Below are 19,431 nucleotides of genomic sequence, written 5' to 3'. Positions count from 1 at the left end.
GGACCAGACCATGAAACTTGTTGAGAGTTCAGGCTGTCCAGCTTTGGATTGTCCAGAGTCTCATCAGATAACCTTGTCTCACAGCTGTTGCAAAGTTTGTAAAGGTAAGACTTTTTTGAAAAGTAAGGTTTACGTGCAAGAGTTATTATAGTAGGCTAGTACAACTGACATGAAGTAGAAATTCTCATAAGCAAATTATTTCCATAGACTAATAGTATTTCCCTATATGCTCTCCTAATTTGGCACAGAGTAGCACAGTAGGTAGTCATGAAATATTTACTGAACTGAATTAAAACTGAACTGCTCCTGTGCATTTCTGCAAGTTGTCTTGAACCTGTCTCAAGCTCTGGATCTCTAAATTTCTCTCTGTGTGCTGGTTTGGAGTCAGTACAGCTTTGCTAAAGAAAGTTACACAACAATATTGAGTTAGTTATTTTATTGGCAGTTACTGTTTCTTGGCAAGTGAGTTTTGTTTGTTTTTCATTTCTCCTCAGCTTCTTTTTATAACTTACCTAGAATATTTTTCATTATGACTACTTCAAATCCCTTTCTTCTTGATTCTACTCTCAATTCTCACCCATAGGTTTCTGGACTACTGAGAATGGAGAGGCCATCAGACATACATTGTTTGTTCTGTGTTGCCTCTGATATGATACAACTAGAACTAGTAATTAGAAGGGACTTCAATTATTAGTTGAAGATAAGAAAACACTAAAATTTGTGCTATTCAAAAATGCAACAGGCCACCCCAGAAGGCAGTGAATTTCCATCACTAAAGATTTTTAAACTAGGTATCTTATTATAGATTCATGTATTAAATTAAAGCATTGATTATATGGAACTCTTTAAGATCCTTGCCAATCATGAAATTATATGTGCCTTCCTGTATTATACGGGAATTATATGCTTATGAATCCATCTTCTACATTAGACAGTGCACCTTGTGGGCAGGGCTGAGTCTTTATGTTCATCTCTATATCCTTAATACTTAGTATGATACCTGGAATGTAGCTGGTACTTATAACTGATGTAATTGGTGCTGTATAACAAACTGCCCCAAATAAGCTACTAGTACTTGTTTGAATAATGACCTTTATATTGATGCAAAACAAAGCTTAAATAGAAAAAGTAAGACAAAGAAACATTATGAAACATACACTGTTTTGTTTTCTTTTAACTTACTCTATTAAAAGTGGACATAGGATCTGATAGATCCTAGATCACCCACTCCCATTTTTAGCAGGGTGGTGCAGTTTGGTTTTGTTTTTAGTTTTTAAGTTACTTTTCCATCCACTCAATAGTTTTTAAATCTCATTTTATGTGAGGCTCTTTAGGAATTACAAAATGGTTTAAGACATGGTCTGCCTTTCGAGGAGCTTTCAGGGTAACCTGCAGTAATAAAGAACACTTCTAAAAAGAACTATGATCACATAGACATATAATAAGGACCATAAGAGTTTTCACTCTCACAGTGCCTAAGTCAGTGCCTTACACAAAGCATGTGTGCAATTTGATATGAATCAAGAATGCTCTTTGGATTCAGTCCTCCAGTTTGCAGCTTGACTAGAGTGTCTTTGGCATCCAAACATAGGCAGGCCATATCAGTGTTTCTTAAACTTAAATATACATATGACTAACTTAGGCATCTTATTAAAATGCAGATTCTGATTCAGTAGGTCTGGGGTCAGGCCTAAGAATCTGAATTTCTACAAAAAAGCTCCTAGGTGATGCTAATGCTGATGGCAAGCAGGACCACACTTTTAGTAGTTCTCTATTTCTGCAAAAAAACTATCTATTGCTGCTCCAAATCTCAGTGGATTAAAGCAATAGTATTGTGGGTCAGGAATTCAGACAGGGCTTGGCTAGGTGATTCTTGTGCTCCACATGGTGTTAACTGGGGTCATTCAATGCTGTAGGGCTGGAAGCCGGGCTTGGCTGAGAGGTTCAAGATGGCCTCACTACATGTTGGTTACCTTGGGTAGGGATGGTTAGAAGGCTGAGCCAGCTGGCACTCCCTCCCTCTCTACGTAATCTAAGGACTTCTTCCTATGGTCTCTCCAGCAGGGTAATCATCAGACTTCTTAAGTGGTGACTCAGGCCTTCAAATACTAGGTCTGGAACTGGCACCACATCACTTCTATCATATGCAATTGGTCAAAGCACTCACAGGCAGCCCACATTCAAGAGAAGGGGAAATAGACCTCACCATAGATAAGAGTGCTGCAAAATTGTGACCACTTTTAATGGCTATCTTTAATGGACACTGCAGGTGTCCAAGGGCTATACAGAAATTACAGAGATGAATAGCGTAGAAGTTAGTCAAGGTTGGGTAGGATAAGATTTGGGTAAAAAGCTGAAATAGGGCCTTTAAGATATCAAGAGAAACCTTAACTACATCTATTTCTTTTTAAAAGAGTCCTAATATATTATGAAAAGCAAGTTAATAAATGGAAAATGCTAGTAAAATTGTGTTATATTTAAATTATTTACAGTTAAAAAATGTGTTTACATAGCATACTTAAAAATACAATGATAGACTATACCATGACTAATACTTCCTCCATCTGAGATTCTGATATAACTGATAGGAGTGGGGCCTTGGCATTACTATTTTTAAAAAATCCCTGATAAATTATTTTTCACAGCTAGGATTGTGAACCACTGGCTTAGATAATCCTCAAACTGAAATTGGACAGATTGGCCCTTCTTGAAATATTTAGCGCTATTTTTAATAAAGATTGCATTAATTTCCGATTCAAATATGTGAAATAAACGTGTTCTCCTGGCATTTTCTAACTTTCAAACTAAAAGAAGTCAAGTTTTCAAGGCTTAAATTTTTAGTCAACTCCTAAAGATATGTTGTGACAAATTCATTTGTGATAAAATTGGCCTCCTGTTTCCAGGCCTATTTGTATAGTGCTAAAGATGGTGTGTTCACATCTGAAAGAGTAGTTGTTGGACAACAGTTAGTAAATATTCCCTGAGAGCAGAGCATGAGATGAAGTGTTGACTTTTTCACTAGAGGCTCAGCCAGTGGTTGGAAACTAAGCTACACACCGAAGTCAGGCTCCAAATTGGTAGGCGCTAAATCAAATTCACCCAAGACTGTGTTCTAGGTACCCTGTAGCTAGCCATCTTCTGTAGTAGCAGATCAGAAGAAATGTAGCAGAAAAGTTTTCCGCTTTTTTCAAATTAGAGAGCCCTTTCAAGGAAGCTTATAACAGATTACCACATGACAGAGACTGAGTGATTCAGTGAGGATTCTGATTTAGAAAGATAAAGAAATAATGTGGATAACCTTTATATCCACAGTCCTTCTGGTTCTTCTCCTCCTCCTTGGCAACCACTTTGTCTGCCTGCAAGATCATTAAGGCTTATTGACTAGATGGCCCTCCTTAATTTATTATTTACTTCATCTCAACTCATAATTATAAGCAATAGGGGCATCCACATACAGAAGGCTGAGTTAGTGTCAGTTCTCCTTTCCCTGGGAAACTTCTGGATAACCCATAGTTTCCCATATTATTCAATTATCACCTTCATGATTCTGGCTATGTGCTATGTATATGTTACTAATACCATTATATAGTTAATTTTTAAATACCTACTATAGTCGACTCACTTTTAAAAGATTTAGTTTTATTCCTAAGCGGTGGTAGCCATGAAATAATAGGATTATTTGCTGGATTTGTGTATTTCTTATACACATTAAAAGAAATCCGTTGGTATTAGTATTTTTTTATGTTCATCCACGTACATGAGTTACACTTTAGGAAACACTAGGATAATCCATTATCTTGCAAACAACACCTAAATTAATATTCTTTCATGTACAAGTGATAGAACACCCAATTCAAGTTTCATGGCAAAAAAATGGAATATGTAGGCCCAATAAGCAGAGGATAAATTGGCTTCAGGTGTAGCTTGATTCTGCTCTCAAATCTCGTCCCTTTGTCTTGATGCATCTCTCAGTTTATCTCCTGTGAGATAGCTTTATTTTGAGGCTCGATGTGTTCTCAGCTATACCCCTACATTCTTACGCTCATATCATTATGCCATTCAAGTAGGTGGAAGAAAAAGCTCAGCATTCTCATACACTGAATAAAACCCCCAGAATTGAGTTTCAGTGGTCTTCATTAGCTTGAAGTAGATAATATGCCCTGACCTGAAGAAATTGTTGTGTCCAGGCCAGTGGACTGCATTGGCTGGTGTGACTCTATCCTGTGGAGGAGTAGAGTCCATTTTCTTATAAGCATCTGGGCTGAAAGTAGGGGTGAGTGATAACGAGGTTATTCTTTTTTTCCACAAAAACAAGAAATAGATGCCTTTAGGCAAAACCTATAAATATTCACCACAAAATTATTGTATTCTCTTTCTCTTGATAATTATGTATTATATATATACTGTTCCTACTTACACATAATCTTTTGTATCCATCCTCCCCTCTTTTCCAGTTATATAAGAATGCATGTTTATATTTTACCAAAAGTTCTACACTTGATAGAAAAACATAGAACTTTATGTAATTTTGTAAAGCTTGCAAAGGGATTAGAGAACATAATATCCTTGAAGTTAAAACCTAAAGAAGGAAATCAAAGAAAGGCTAGGTTGTATTAGATAATTGGTTCATCCATCTGTCTATAACAAATATTTGAATTTTCTTTTATGGATCTCAACATATTTAATTTCAGCTTAGTAGTGCTCTAATAACTTTAGTTATTAACGAATAATATATTATTATGCTTTTACATAGATAATTTCATTGGAACCTCACATTTTTACAAGGTAGTTATTATACTAATTTTTATTGGTGAGAAAAACTGAAGGCTTAGAAAGGTTAATTAATGTACAGTTAGTAATTTACACAGCAAGTTAGTGGCAGAGATCAGATGTAAACTCAGGCCTGCCAACTCCAATAGCCAAGCACATATGAATGGAAATGCAACTATGAAGATAATAGGATTATGTTGCCAACCCATACTCTGATTTGTTTAAAGCTATTCCCTATAGATCAGAAGCAACCCACTCGAAATCAAGTCTGAATTTTCCATCCATTAATTGTTAGCTTTTTGACCCTAGCATTTTGCAAAATAACCAGTAGGTTCAATCAACTTATCTGTTGGAAGAATGAATCAAAATAGCTGACATTGTTTATAGAGAATTGGAATTCGAATGACTGAAATTTTAATTTTTCAAGTATTTGTGTTTAAAAAAACCCATCTGATAAAAAGCAAGGCACTTCCTAATTTTTACCTAAAACAGTGAAAGTTGGATCACACTGTTATCTTACAGTGAGAAAATTCTTGCAGCAATTAAACTCTACATAGTGTATGTGTGCAAGATGTTTAATGCTGAGATGAGAGGTCTCACCATTACTGAAACAGAACTGAAAATGGATGATAATAGAGGTGGCATATCACATATGGCATAGATAATATTGGGCAGAGTCCAAGATGGGAGAGGAGAAAATTCAACCAAGTGAAAAGTTGAAGGAAGGTTTTGAAAAAAAGGTGTATCAGAAATGGTATCCGTTCTTAGTCACAGTCCTCTGAAAGTTGTTTGAAACAGTACAGGCAAAATTATGCAGAAATTTAGCACTGTGTTAGAGCTTTGTTTCTTAATTCTCTGTGTATCTTAAGGAGTAGGCTATTTTTTAGTAACTTTGTTTTAATATAGAATAAATATAAAGTGGTTTTTGAAGCCTTTTTAGTTAGTTTGATGTTGTGCTGAGCTATTGGGATAGATAGTGAAGATGACTTTTTAGCCGAAATTGTTCTCCCTCAGGCATTATAAAAAGACAGCGGAATACATTTGAAGAAATATCATCTGAATTTAGCTATTTAAAGAAGAAGGAAATAAAAAGATCCTAGGAGAAAGCATTTTTAACTTTTGCTCTTCTTAAGAATTTTACTTTTAAATGTACAGCCTTAATCATGACAGTTTAGATTGTGAAGACTCTTGTCAAAAGAAGCTACGTTGCCAAGTATTTTAAATGCTGTTATTGACTATATTTTTCTGGACTTAATAAACCTATGTTCGATTTTATTTTATTTTTGTAGAAATCACTGAGTCATTTGATTATTTTTCTATTCTTTTTTAATGGTATTATTACATTTTTGGAACATTACTCTTCTTAAGGGTTATTAAGTTGTACCAATAATATTTTACTATACATCATAGTTGCATTAATAGGGAGTATGTTTTAACTCTGGAATTCTAATCGAATGAACACCAATTTGATTACAGATAAGATGAACCAATATAGTACTTCCATCTATATGATTTTCGCAAGTAAAAGTCTTTTCTTGCTTATAGGTTGATCAGATTATTCTAAGATACATGAAATATACTTTTTTAGTCCTTTTTTTTTTTTTTTTTTGATGGAGTCCTACTCTTTTGCCCAGGCTGGAGTGCAGCGGCGCGATCTTGGCTCACTGCAACCTCTGCCTCCCGGGTTGAAGCAATTTTCCTGCCTCAGCCTCCAGAGTAACTGGGATTACAGGCACCTGCCACCATGCCCAGATAATTTTTATATTTTTAGTACAGACGGGGTTTCACCATGTTGGCCAGGCTGGCCTCCAACTCCTGATCTTAAATGATCCATCTGCTTCAGCCTCCCAAAGTGCTGGGATTACAGGTGTGAGCCACCATGCCCAGCCACCTTCTTTCTTTACATGGGCTAAAATAGTAATCCATTAGAAAGTGCAAACCTAGATAGATAGCATACATCAAGTAATTTAAAACTGGTTGAATTATATATAATTATGTAATTTCCATTAAATATAGATTCCAGTTTTGAAGATTTCATTTCAGCATCTTAGATGATCTTTGAACAAGGGGTTCAGGCCACAAAAAGAGATCTTGAGAAATTGCACATGATTGCTGTCACTATTTATAAAATGTTCCATTTTTCTTTTCTCTTATAAAGACTCTGAGATCTGTGAAATCTCTATAATTCCTAAAAATTTTCTTCCTCTTTAGAGTGAGCATACTTTGCCTTGCAGATTTCTAGAGAAAATTAGATTAAAGTGATTTAATATTCATCTTTAACACATTTAGAAAGGTTTTGTTTTTTTTGGATGCTAAGCTGTCTAATTTCTTAAATACACAATAGGTACATTTCATCTGGCTTGGTTTGTTTTACCCACAGGTATTGAAAATGTTGAACCTCCAGTTACCAGATTACCTTCTCATTGTGTTATCTTCTATATTATAAATCTTCATTTTGTACCCTAATAATATTTCTTTTTTTCAGATATATGGAGGGTTATAATTAGAATATTAGGGACTAGATAGCATTTATAAAGTCAAAAACCACAAAAGAAATGGAGTTAACTTGAAATCGAAATTAATTGAGTTAAACATAAAGAAGAAGTTTTTGGTACTCATAGCATGTGATTCTTCTGTAAATGTTGATGAAGATACTAATTAAAAAATTATTTAGGGAGTCATAGCTTCAAAATTAAAGAAAATATTAAGTAGGAAAAATTTGCATTGTCATAGTTTCATTTACCTTAATAAATTTCTTTTTTTTTCTGTAGGTTATGACTTTTGTTCTGAAAGGCATAACTGCATGGAGAATTCCATCTGCAGAAATCTGAATGACAGGGCTGTTTGTAGCTGTCGAGATGGTTTTAGGGCTCTTCGAGAGGATAATGCCTACTGTGAAGGTAATCCTTGTAATGATGTGTAGCTCAGCTGTATAAATTTTCTAGGATTACTGCATGCAAAATTTATTAAGTTCCCAGGTTGTCAAGTTGATGGGCCCATTAAAAGCAGTGAATTTAATTTGAAGCATATTAATCAGCTAAAAATAATTATCTTTCAAATTAAAGTTTTTCAGCTATCTGCTATATGTCACACTAATAAGTTGATATGGCTGGTTTCTTGAATTAGAACAATTCTTCCACTGTGAAATTGCCTTCTTTTTTTTCATAATTAGATATTCAGATAGCTCACATATTGACATGATTACTGTGGCTTGCAGTTAGAATCGTAGTCAGATTTTTCCAGACAGTGTTGTGTAACAAAGGCAATCACTTAACAGGAAGATAAAGTGCCTACTGCTATTTCTGTTTGCTACTATAAGTAATCTAAGTGGTTGTATTCATGCTCTGTAGTATTTAGTAAATAGCTCCAGTGGAGTAAATCATTTTCTAGTTAATTTTTAAAAATCTTAACTAATATCCAAGATAGTTTATTCTCTCATGGAAACTGTCCACATACAGTGAGTGGACTCTTGGCATTTGCAAATGCTCTGGCTTTGACTCTTCCTGACGAAGTCCATGAGATGTGGTAATTTATGATTTCCCTGAGGTATGGATTTGAATCATTCCTGTTAATTGTGTAACTAGCTAATGAGTTCTACAAATAAGAACATTGATTTAGAGGTGTTTGGGCATTCAGAGAAAGTTTTGGAGAGTTCTAAACTTACCCACTCCACATGAAAAGCATATGTCATAGATCTGTGGAGATGGAAAACCTCAGGTATAAACACACAGCTTCTGTTTAGCTGCAGGATGATTTGTTGGCTCTCGGGAAACCAACTTCTGTTGTTTCCCTTAGCTTAAATAGTTTTTTCTTTTTCTTAAAAATCCTTATTCATTTTTTAAATTGACCTTTGGATTAAAATATTTCTTTAAATGCTACTGATTCAGTCCTAAAGGGATCATTCCAGTTTTGCAGAAGAAAAGAAATATGGCTTCCCTTCCCCATTCATAATGCAGATTTATTTAAAATTCCTCATCTTAAAAGATTTTTCATAAAAATGGATTTTTACCCTTACATAACATAGAGGTAAACTTTCTTAGGAAACTAATGTATTTTGATTATAATATTTGAGATTTCTAACATGTAACAAGCCCCTCTGGTAGTTTATATGTATAACATGAAACTACATGATACAAATTCATGTGATACTTTGTTTTGAATTTTACTTATATGATTATTGCTTTTTTTTAAATTTTGAGCTGCTTTTGATGCTACTAAGTATATTCGATCATGTAATAAATATTTAGTAAGCACCTACTGCATCCTGAACACTTTTCTAGGCTTGATGTAAAGTGGAGTAAATGATGGACAAGACTTAAGAATTTCCCGTGCTCAGGAGCTTTACATTCTGGGAGCTAAGACAGAATTAGTGGGTGACTATAGAACTAGAGAAGACAATTTCGGGTAGTAAAAATTAATAGGAAGAAAATGAAACAGGATGATGTGTTAGAGATTGGCTGGGGATTTATTCAGAGTGGTCAACCTCTGGGACAGGGAGTGAGGGGAGAGTGGTGGTAACCTGAGACTTGATGATAAGAGAGGAAACAGCCATGTAATAATCTTGGATAGAACACTTCAACCAGAAGAATAAAAAGTGGAAAGGCTCTAAGTGGGAATGAGCTTAGAATGCTCTAGGAACAAAATGAAGGAAAACGTAGTGGAGCGGACAAAAGAAGGAAATCCTGTTGGAGAATTAGGCAGGGGCCAGGTAATGTAGGAAAGTTTGCAAGGATTTCAGAGTTGCATCAAGGAGGAGAGTGATATGCTCAGCCCTGTATTGAAAAGGATAGTTCTGGCTCCAGTGTGATAGATGAACTATTGTGTTGGGAGTGATGGGGAGCTGTGGAAATTGGAGATGAGTTGGAAGGCTATTGCAGTAGTCCAGGTAAAGATGTTGATGGCCTGGATAAGGAAAGTTATAGGAAGTGAAGAGGAGTAAGGTATATTCATAGTACGTTTTGAAAGTAGAGCCAAAAATACTTGCAGTTAGTTTATTGTGGTGTAGAATTGATCAAAAGGAGCCAAGATTTGGAATCTGAGCAACACATGGATGGCATTGAGACAGGAAAGAAGTTAAGGAAAGGGGCCAGAGATTTAGATTACCTTACTTGTTTAATGCAGCTTACTGAAAATTGGCCTAATCATAAAGACCAAGTCACTCAGTTTTTATCTGGAAGTGTTCTGGATAAAATCTGTGGCACAGGTTGGCAGCTGTTTTCATCTTGAATGCACTATACAATGACAGATGTTTTACAACTTTATACTAATTGTCATTTAAATATATAATCTTCAAAACATAAGAAAGTGATGGAAAAATTTGTTGAACATATATCATCAAATTCAAGATATCTTGAATTTTTTTATATATAAGGACTTCTAATATATCTTTTGTTATTTATTCCAAATAACAATATTATTCAGGATTTGAATAATTCTTATCAAATATGGCTTTCCTTTTGATTATGGCATGGTTGCTAACTTTGAGGATGTTTTGACTTCTTAGAAGGAACACCTTTTTAAACATTTTTAATGCAATTTTGCATGGTATATATTTGGTCCTTAAATAAATTACACTTGTGATTATACATAAAAATAAGCAAGCCATTGTTTGCAAATAACATACAATTTTATTTACTAAATCTGTGGGGTTGCTTAATGATATGACTGTAATTGAGACTATTGATTTTTACTAATAGTTTTCCTGATCATGGTTATCATAACACTGGTAACTACTGGAGTTCATTCACTCATTTGATAAATATTTATTGAGTACTTACTTTGTGCAAGGTTAGAGATAAGGATAAAGCAGTAAATTAGATATACATGACTAATATTCTGTCAGGCGAAGAAGATAATTAACATGCCATTTCATTACACCAAAGAACATTTCATTGCAAATGTGGCAACTATTCTAAAAGAGAAATAGATTAATAGGGCATATGATCTGGGTGGTGGGGTTAGGGAAAATTTTGCTTGAACAAGAAGAGTTTTATTCTGGAATCTGAAGGGTAAGTAAAAGTCAGGGAATCATAGAAGGAAGAGTAGAAAAGAAGAGAATTTCTTACATGGGTAAATCAGCATATCTAAGGGCCTTCAGGTAGAAAGAAGGACTTTTTAAGAACCAAAGGAAGGCCAGTAGCAGAGAGCACAGGAGAGGTGCCCAGTGAGACTGATAATGAGAAGCAGGATCTTGAAGGTCACACTAAAGATTAAGAGTTTCATGTTAAGAACAAGGGACAGCTAATTAAAGATTTTAAGATGAGAAGTTTCGTGATCACACTTGTGTTTTAAACATATCACTCCAGCTGTAGGATGAACAGGAGAAAGGCTGGATGCAGGGAAACCAATGGACGAAAGCCAGTGAGGGCTTGTCTTAAAAATGTAAGTGGAGATGTGGATGCATCTAAGAGCATTTGTGAGGTAAAACCAGCCAGTCTTGATTAATTGGTGGTAGTAGATGATGAGGAGAGAGGTTTAGAGGTTGATTCCCAGGTTTCTGGACTAATAAATAGGCAGATGTTGGTGCTGCTCACTTAGGGAACAGATTGAGTGAGAAAATCATGATGGGTTTGGAGTGCCTATGGGACATCTAAGGTGAGTAACTAGTTGAATATACTTCAATTTGGCATTAAGGGAAGTTTAAGTTAGACAGAAAATTTGGAATTCTTTGGCATCTAAATGTTAGTTGAGGAGACGGAAGGGATTGTCTAGAGAGTTTTGAGCAACATTTGAGCATTTTATAGAAAAGATTATTTGGTGATGGCGATAGCAAACTCATGGCTGAAACGTAGGAGGAGAGAGAAGAGCAGGTGGTGTCACAGAAGCCAAGAGAAGAGAGAATTTTAAGAAGAAAGTAGGATGTGTCTGAGAGATCAAGAAAAATGAAGACTGAAAGATGTCCTTTGCGTTGAACCTCACAGATGACATTGAGGACAGCAATAGTGATTTTGGTACAAAGTTGGTGATACAAGCCAGTTTGGAGTACATTGAATATTGTCTAAGGGAAAAAAATGAACCTGGAGAAAGGAGAGAGAGTTCTTCTAGGTGTTTGCCTACAAAGGGATGGAAAAAGGAAGTAGCTTAAGGGACCTGAAGCTAAAGAAGGGATTCTTCTGCCCGACCCACTTTTTCTCATTTAACTTCTGTACCCTTTCTCCTTGCCCCAGTATCTCAGCCAGGCAGATGATAACTTCTTGTTCTTCAGTGAGTTTTGCAACACCTCAGATATTTATAAACATAGTATAATATTAGGATTTTATAACAGCATGGCTTGTCTAGCTTTTCCTATAAGGGATCTAGAATGTCTGGAAGTATATTGGCCTACTTTAGTGTTTTGTTAACTGCATGCTTATCACATTTCTCTTTAAAAAATTATATATTCATCGCCATCCATCCATCTCACCTCCTATAGATTTCTTACTACATTTTTAAATATTTTACCTCTCATCTGGTATTTTGTCACTACATATAAGATATAAAAGTTGTCAAAAATTATGTTGGACATCCTGTTTTTCAGACTGGTTTTTTGCTACATGTCTTCACTTGACACTGAAAATTATGGGATCTTTTGATGTTTTGACTATATCTTCTATCCTCACATTCCACTATTCAGTATTATTTTAGAGTTATCTTGGCATTCTATTTTAGATGGTGGCTTCTGGAGTCATTTTGTAAGTTTCTTTCTTCAGTGCATAATAGTTGCTGGGGATGACAGCTGTGTCAGTCCAATAGCGCATTACAATGAAGAAGTTTTTTGTGATTTCCAAACTGTGATTTTCCTATCTAAGCCTTTGACATTATACCAAGAACAGGAAGAGTCCTGCATAAGTGAGTCATTTATATGATTGCATGTCACACATAATTATAAAAATTGGTAATTGATGCCTTATTAATGAATTTTAAAGTAAGTTTGTGAGACATTTCTTCAAATTAACAAGAATATGGGAAATAGTTTAGTATAGTCTGAGCCCACCTCCAAGTACCTAATTTCTTACTGATAGCCTAGTTTCTCTTGGATTCATTCAATCTCTTTCATTCTGATTCCTGCCTCCAGGTGTCATTTTTCACTTCATGTCACCTGTTTAGACATTCTGCCTCCTTTGTCTCTTCCTACTCCTAACCAGCCAGGACCCACTCTCCAGATTAACATTCATAAAACATCATTTATTCTACTTGAGTGTTCACAGTGCCTTCTTCTTGCTCACCACATCAAGTCTGAACTTCTTTGCCCAGCTTCCAGGGCTGTATGTCACCTGGTCACATGTAGCTATTTATCCATTAGCCCTGAGCAGGTCACCTACCATAATCATTTCTTTTGCTGATAATGATTCATCTGAGTTATGAATTGAATTATGTTACCCTCACACCCCACCTCACATTTACATTCTCATTTTAACCATGAGCATCTGAGAATGTTACCTTATTTGGAAATAGGGACGTTGCAGATTTAATGTGTTAAGATGAGATAAAATCATGCTGGAGGAGGGTGACACCCTATTCCAGTATGATCACTTTCATTATAAAAAGGAGAAATTTGGATACAGACACATAGGGAAATTACACTATGTGAACATGAAGTTATCAGGTGAACATGAAGACAGAGATCAGGATGATGTGACTTTAAGCCAAGGAAAACCAAAATCACTAGCAAAGCACCAGCAGCTAGGTGAGGAGCATGGAACAAGTTGTACTTCACAGCCCTCAGAAGGAACCAATCCTGTCAACACCTTGATTTTGGACTTCTAGCCTCCAAAACTGTGAGACAATAAGTTTCTGTTGTGCAAGACACCCAGTTTGTGGTACTTTATTATGGCAGTCCTAGAAAACTAATACAATCTGGCAGACATGCCTTTAGCTTTTTGGCTTAACAGTCCATGATTTAATCATTCTTACAGACTCTGCTTGATTTTTATCTTCTCTGTGAAGATTTCCTGATGAATTTATTGTGTGCATATAATTACTTTCTCATGTTCTCTTTTTATCTTATCTGACTGAACGATTAGCACTTTATATTGGCTTATATCCAGTTGTTCAGCTGGAGTATACAACACATCCTCAAATAACGTCATTTCATTTAATGTTGTTTCATTATAATGTTGATGAGAAAAAATATATATATTCCTGACTGGGGCCACAGTCTGTGTGGAGTTTGCACATTTTCCCCATGTCTGTGTGGATTTTCCCTGGATACTCCAGTTTCCTCCATACCCCAAAGCTGTATATGGTAGACTCATTGGCGTATCCAAATGGCCCCAGTGTGAGTGACTGTGGGTGTGTGTGAGTGGTGTTATGATGGAATGACATCCTGGTCAGGGCTGGTTCCTGCCTTGTCCCCTGGGCTGCCCGGTCAGGCTCCAGCCATCACCAACCCTGAACTGAAATAAGTGGGTAAATAATTATCTTACTTGTTTTTTTAGTGGTTCTTAAATGTATGTATAGCTCACGTTTATTTCCATGTTTAATATTAGAAGTGTTTTGGTCTTTAGTTAGAAGTTTGGTGATGTTTCTGTGACCAGAAATATGCTGAAAGAACTTAACCCTTATTTACAACTATTATTAGCCTATGTTAAAGTTGGTTACATTCGTTATATGCCATTTCATTTAAAGTTGCCATTTCCAAGAGCCTACCTATGTTAAGCGAGGAGGCCTTACTGTACTTTATTATATACTGTGTTATTTATTAATTCAGATGTGTTATTTATTCATTCAGAATTCAATATATGTATCTGTGTATACTTCCCTCAACTATAAGTGCCTAGTAATCACAGCCTGTTTATTTTCCTTGAATTCTCACAAACTTCTAAAATAGAGGCAATGTAGAGCCTAAGAAAGATTTGTTTACTGATAGTTTGAAATGCTTAGATATGCTGAACTGATGGGCACCATTAGGCTGACTCATCACTAAAGAATGACTCAGGGCAAGCACTGAGTTTATTGAGTTGTGTTTATATTATATATAAGAAAATCTAATCATGATACTGACTTTTGTAGCTAAAAAGGGATTGAGTTTTAAATTGATTTCTATTGGGCTTTAAAAATTATTCTGAATAGTGCAAGAAAAGGAATTTGTTCATTCATAACATTCATTATTTATTAAATTGTATGTGCACTGATTAAATAACATACACATTAAAAGGACCTCAACTATTAGAAGTTTCCCCATCTTCACAATTGCTTTTACAGAACACTCATTTTTTCCCCTAAGATTTGAATTCTACCTAAAATTTGCAAAGCAACTCACTTCAACATGAAATATCTGGTATGTATAAGGTGCGTAATAAATACCAGTTGACTCTGAAGATGGGAATCTTAGTAAACATTTGTTTACTAAGCACATGTGATGTGCCAGAGTTGGAATCCTCAAACATTAACTAATAAGTTTTTGTATTTAGACATCTTAGACATCTAGTTCAAGTAACTGTTTTTTAAACTTCATCGTTTATATCAATAAAAACACTGATTTCTCCCACCTCATTCCTGTCTTTGTAATGCTATCTTTTGGCCAATGATGCCTCTTCTACCCTCTTTCTTGTTCTGCATTTCAGGGAATTCTAGCCTATGTACAAAATAATGTGAGCAAAACTATGGTTCTTTGGAGGCATTTAAAATGCTTTTCACTTATCATGGGTTTCTGTTTGTTTTTGAGGCAGGGTCTCACTCTGTTGCCTAGGCTGGAGTGCAGTGGTGCAATCATGCCTCATTGCAGCCTCAGCCTCTTGCCCTCAAGCAATCCCCCCACCTCAGCCTCCCAAGTAGCTGGGCCTACAGGCATGCACCACCATGCCTGGCTAATTTATTTTTATTTTTTTATTTTTAAATTTTTTTGGAGAGACATGGTTTCACTGTGTTGCCTAGGCTGGTCATATATATGATCTTATTTCCTCCAACAGTCCTATGATGATGAAAGCTTTATTGTAATCTATTTTGACTCCTTCAAAATCATTTACCCAGGCAGCAAACAGTAAATTTGGGGTTCAAATTCATGTCATCTGTCTTCAAATTCTGTGGACTTTTTCTCTTTACCACTTTTAATTAATTTTTTAGAGGCAGGGTCTCACTGTGCCATCATGCCCGGCTAATGATTTTACTTTTGGTAGAGATGGGGTCTTGCTTTGTTGCCTAGGATGGTCTCAAACTCCTGGGCTCAAGTGACCATCCCACTCAGCCTTCTTAAGTGCTAGGATCACAGGCATGAGCCAGTATGCCCAGACTAATTATTGAATCTAGTTATTTTTATAAGAAAGAGTAGCATAAGATTTTTCTTTAGAAAGGCATTTTTAATCGTAGTTAACTACTTTAAAAATTGAATGCTGCTTCTTCTTTTTTTTTTTTTTTTGAGACGGAGTCTCGCTCTGATTCTGTATTTCATCCAGAAAGCAGCTCATTGCCATTAGAGAAATCATGTAACCAACCTCCTTTGCTCCAGCATTTTCTCCTTCTTTCCCTCCCTCTCTCCTTTCCTCCCTCCCTCCCCTCTTTCCTTCCTTCTTTTCTTCCTTCCTCTCTCCCTCCTCTTTCCTCCCTCCCCCTCTCTTCCTCTGCCCCTCCCTCCCTTCCTCCCTCTCTTCCTTCCTTCCTTTCTTCCTTCCTTCATTTTTTCCTTTTACCCCTTTGGCCTCCTTTCTTCTCTTTTTTTCAGCTGCTTACCATCTCACAACTAACTTGTTTAGTGATGAATTCCTGACATAACCATATTTGCATATGATTAACTGTGAGATATAGAGGAAATCTGAAAGGATTCCTTTAAGAGTAAGATGAGCGATAGCCTCACAAAGTTGCTCCAAGAGATATGAAGGGAAAGCTACAGAATGCACTCAATTCTCTGATTGCAAACCCAGCACACAAGTCCCTGCTGGATCTAATGGGAGGCTTGCTAACAGCTAGGAGAAATAACCTAGAGAACTGAGCTCTATGGGATTAATTAGGGAACTCGAGCAGACACTGTCACTTTCAAAACTGTCATTAATGATGCACTCTCTGTGGTATATATTATGGTAGAATTTCTTAAATAAAAAAAAAAAAGTCTAAGGATACTGTATTAGTCAGGGTTCTCCAGAAAAACAGAACAAACAGGATGTGTGTGTGTGTGTGTGTGTGTGTGTGTGTTTGTATGTGTGTTGTATATTATATACATATGTGAGATTTATTATTATAAGGAATTGGCTCACATGATTATGGAGGTTGTCAGGTCTCAAAATCTGGAGTGGGTAAGCTGGAGACTCAGGAGAGCCAGTGGTATAGTTTCAGTCTGAGTCCAAAGGCCCGAGATTTGGAGACTCAATGATATAAGTTCCAGTCCGAGGTTAGGAGAAGACCAACGTTCTAATTCAAGGACTCAGGCAGATGAAATTTCCCTCTTACTCAGTCTTTTTGTTCTATTCAAGTCTTCAATTGATTGTATGAGGCCTGCCCACGTTAGGGAGGGATAATCTGCTTTACTCAGTCTACAGATTCAAATGTTAATTTCATCCAGAAACACCCTCACAAACACACCCAGAATAATGCTTTACCAAATGTCTGGTTACCACCTGGCCTAGTCAAGTTGTCACATAAAATTAACCATCACAGGTAAAATTTAAAAGAGAAAGAGAGAGAAGAGCAAAAGTATTTCTGATGTTTCCAAATGTCATGACTTGACCTTTTAATGGCTTCATCTATCCATTCAACCAAGTGGAAAAGTTGCTACATAAAACAGCTTTCAGGATTAATATGATATATGGAAACATTATTTTTAGGCTTTGAGGAACATCTGTGTAACATATTTACAATACTGAGGAAATAATGGATTTATTTTTTCATGAGAATCATTCCTTCTTCAATTAAAGAATTTTGTTATGGAAGTTCTGAAAATCCCTACTAAGTGACATAGCTAAATTTGAACTTGCATTAGCTATTCATCTGGGCTCATTCATCATTTACTTTCTATTGTGCTTCAACTTTCTCAGACTCAAAACAATTTCCATTCATTTCTAAACTTGAACACCATTAAGACATTCAAATAAGAGAAAAGGACATTTTAAAATTTGAAGCAAAGGTCTCCTTTGATAGGAGAGGATTTTGAAATTTATAAATGAAACCTGATAAAGATGAAACCGTTCTAAATTTCTTCTTAGGCGTGGTTTCTCATACAAAGCTAATTGAAGACACAATCAATGCTATCCATATACAGGCATACCTTGGAGATATTGCTGGTTTGTTTCCAGACCACTGCAATAAAGCTAATATTGCAATAAAGCAAGTCATATAGACTGTTTTGTCTCCCAGTGCATATAAAAGTTATATTTACACTCTACTGTAGTCTAAGTGTGCAATGTCATTATGTCTTTAAAAATGTATGTATCTTAATTTAAACATATTTTACTGCAAAAAATGCTAACAATCGTCCGAGCCTTCAGAGAGTCATAATAATATTTTTGCTGATGGAGGGTCTTGCCTCAATGTTGATGGCTGCTGACTGATCAAGGAGATAGTTGCTGAAGGTTAGGATGGCTGTGGAAATTTCTTAAAATAAGATAACGATGAAATTTGTCAACTGACTCTTCCTTTCATGAGAGATTTCTCTGTAGCATGCAATGCTATTTGATAGCATCTTATCTACAGTAGAACTTTTTTCAAAATTGTAATCAGTTCTCTTAAACCCTGCTGCTGCTTTATCAACTAAATTTTTGTGATATTCTAAATTCTTGGTTGTCATTTCAACAATGCTCATAGCATCTTTACCAGGAGTAGATTTCATCTCAAGAAACTACTTTCTTTGCTTATTCATAAGAAACAATTTCTCATCTGCTCAAATTTTAACATGAGATTGCAGCAATTCAGTCACATCTTCAGGCTTCATTTCTAATTCTAGTACTCTTACTATTTCCACTACATCTGCAGCTACTCCCTCTACTGAAGTCTTGAACCACTCAAAGTCATCTATGAGGGCTGGAATCAACTTATTCCAAACTCTTGTTAGTGTAGTTATCTTGACCTCTTCCAATGAATCACAAATTTTCTTACTGTCATCTAGAATGGTGAATCTTCCCCAGAAGGTTTTCAACTTACTTTGCCCAGATTCTTGAGAGAAATCACTATCTATGGCAGCTATAGTCTTAAGAAATATATTTCTTAAGTAATAAGACTAGAAAGTCTAAATGACTCCTTGATTCATGAGCTGTAGAATGGATGTAGTGTTAGCAGCCATGAAAACATTAATCTCCTAGTGCGTTGCCATCAGAGCTCTTGGGTGACTAAGTACATTGTCAATGGGCCACAATAATTTGAAAGGAATACTTCTTTATTCTGAACAGTGGACTTTAAATCTTTAGTAAAACGTGGTATAAACAGATGTGCGGCTGTCATCTAGGCTTCATTGTTCCATTTATAGAGCATAGGCAGAATAGTTTTAGCATAATTCTTAAGGGCCCTAGGGTTTTTGAAATGGTCAATGAGCAATGGCTTCAACTTAACGTCACCACAACTGCGTTAGCCCCTAACAAGAGAGTCAACCTCTCCTTGGAAACTATGAAGCCAGCATTGACTTCTGTCTCTCTAGCTGTAAAAGTTCTATATGGCATTTTCTTCTAATAGAAGGTCATTTTGTCTTGATTGAAAACCTGTTGTTTAGTGTAGCTAACTTGGCCAATGGTCTTAGCTGGATCTTCTGAACAACTTACTGCA

At 35.8% G+C, this 19,431-nt stretch overlaps 1 protein-coding gene across 6 annotated transcripts in view; it reads left to right on the top strand.

The window, feature by feature from the left end:
- NELL2 (neural EGFL like 2) overlaps positions 1–19,431 on the top strand; it is a 413,574-nt gene that overhangs the window by 210,453 nt on the left and 183,690 nt on the right. For all 6 annotated transcript variants that reach the window (XM_011538396.2, NM_006159.2, NM_001145110.2 and 3 more), the window contains 2 exons: positions 2–104; positions 7,542–7,670. In XM_011538396.2, the coding sequence (XP_011536698.1) occupies positions 2–104; positions 7,542–7,670 (232 nt within the window). The remainder of the gene's footprint in view (position 1; positions 105–7,541; positions 7,671–19,431) is intronic.

Source organism: Homo sapiens, chromosome 12 (genome assembly GCF_000001405.40).
Source record: "Homo sapiens chromosome 12, GRCh38.p14 Primary Assembly".
Classification (NCBI taxonomy): Eukaryota; Metazoa; Chordata; class Mammalia; order Primates; family Hominidae; genus Homo; species Homo sapiens.
The sequence above is the reverse complement of the archived record's forward strand: the minus strand, read 5'-3'. Positions and strand labels throughout refer to the sequence as shown.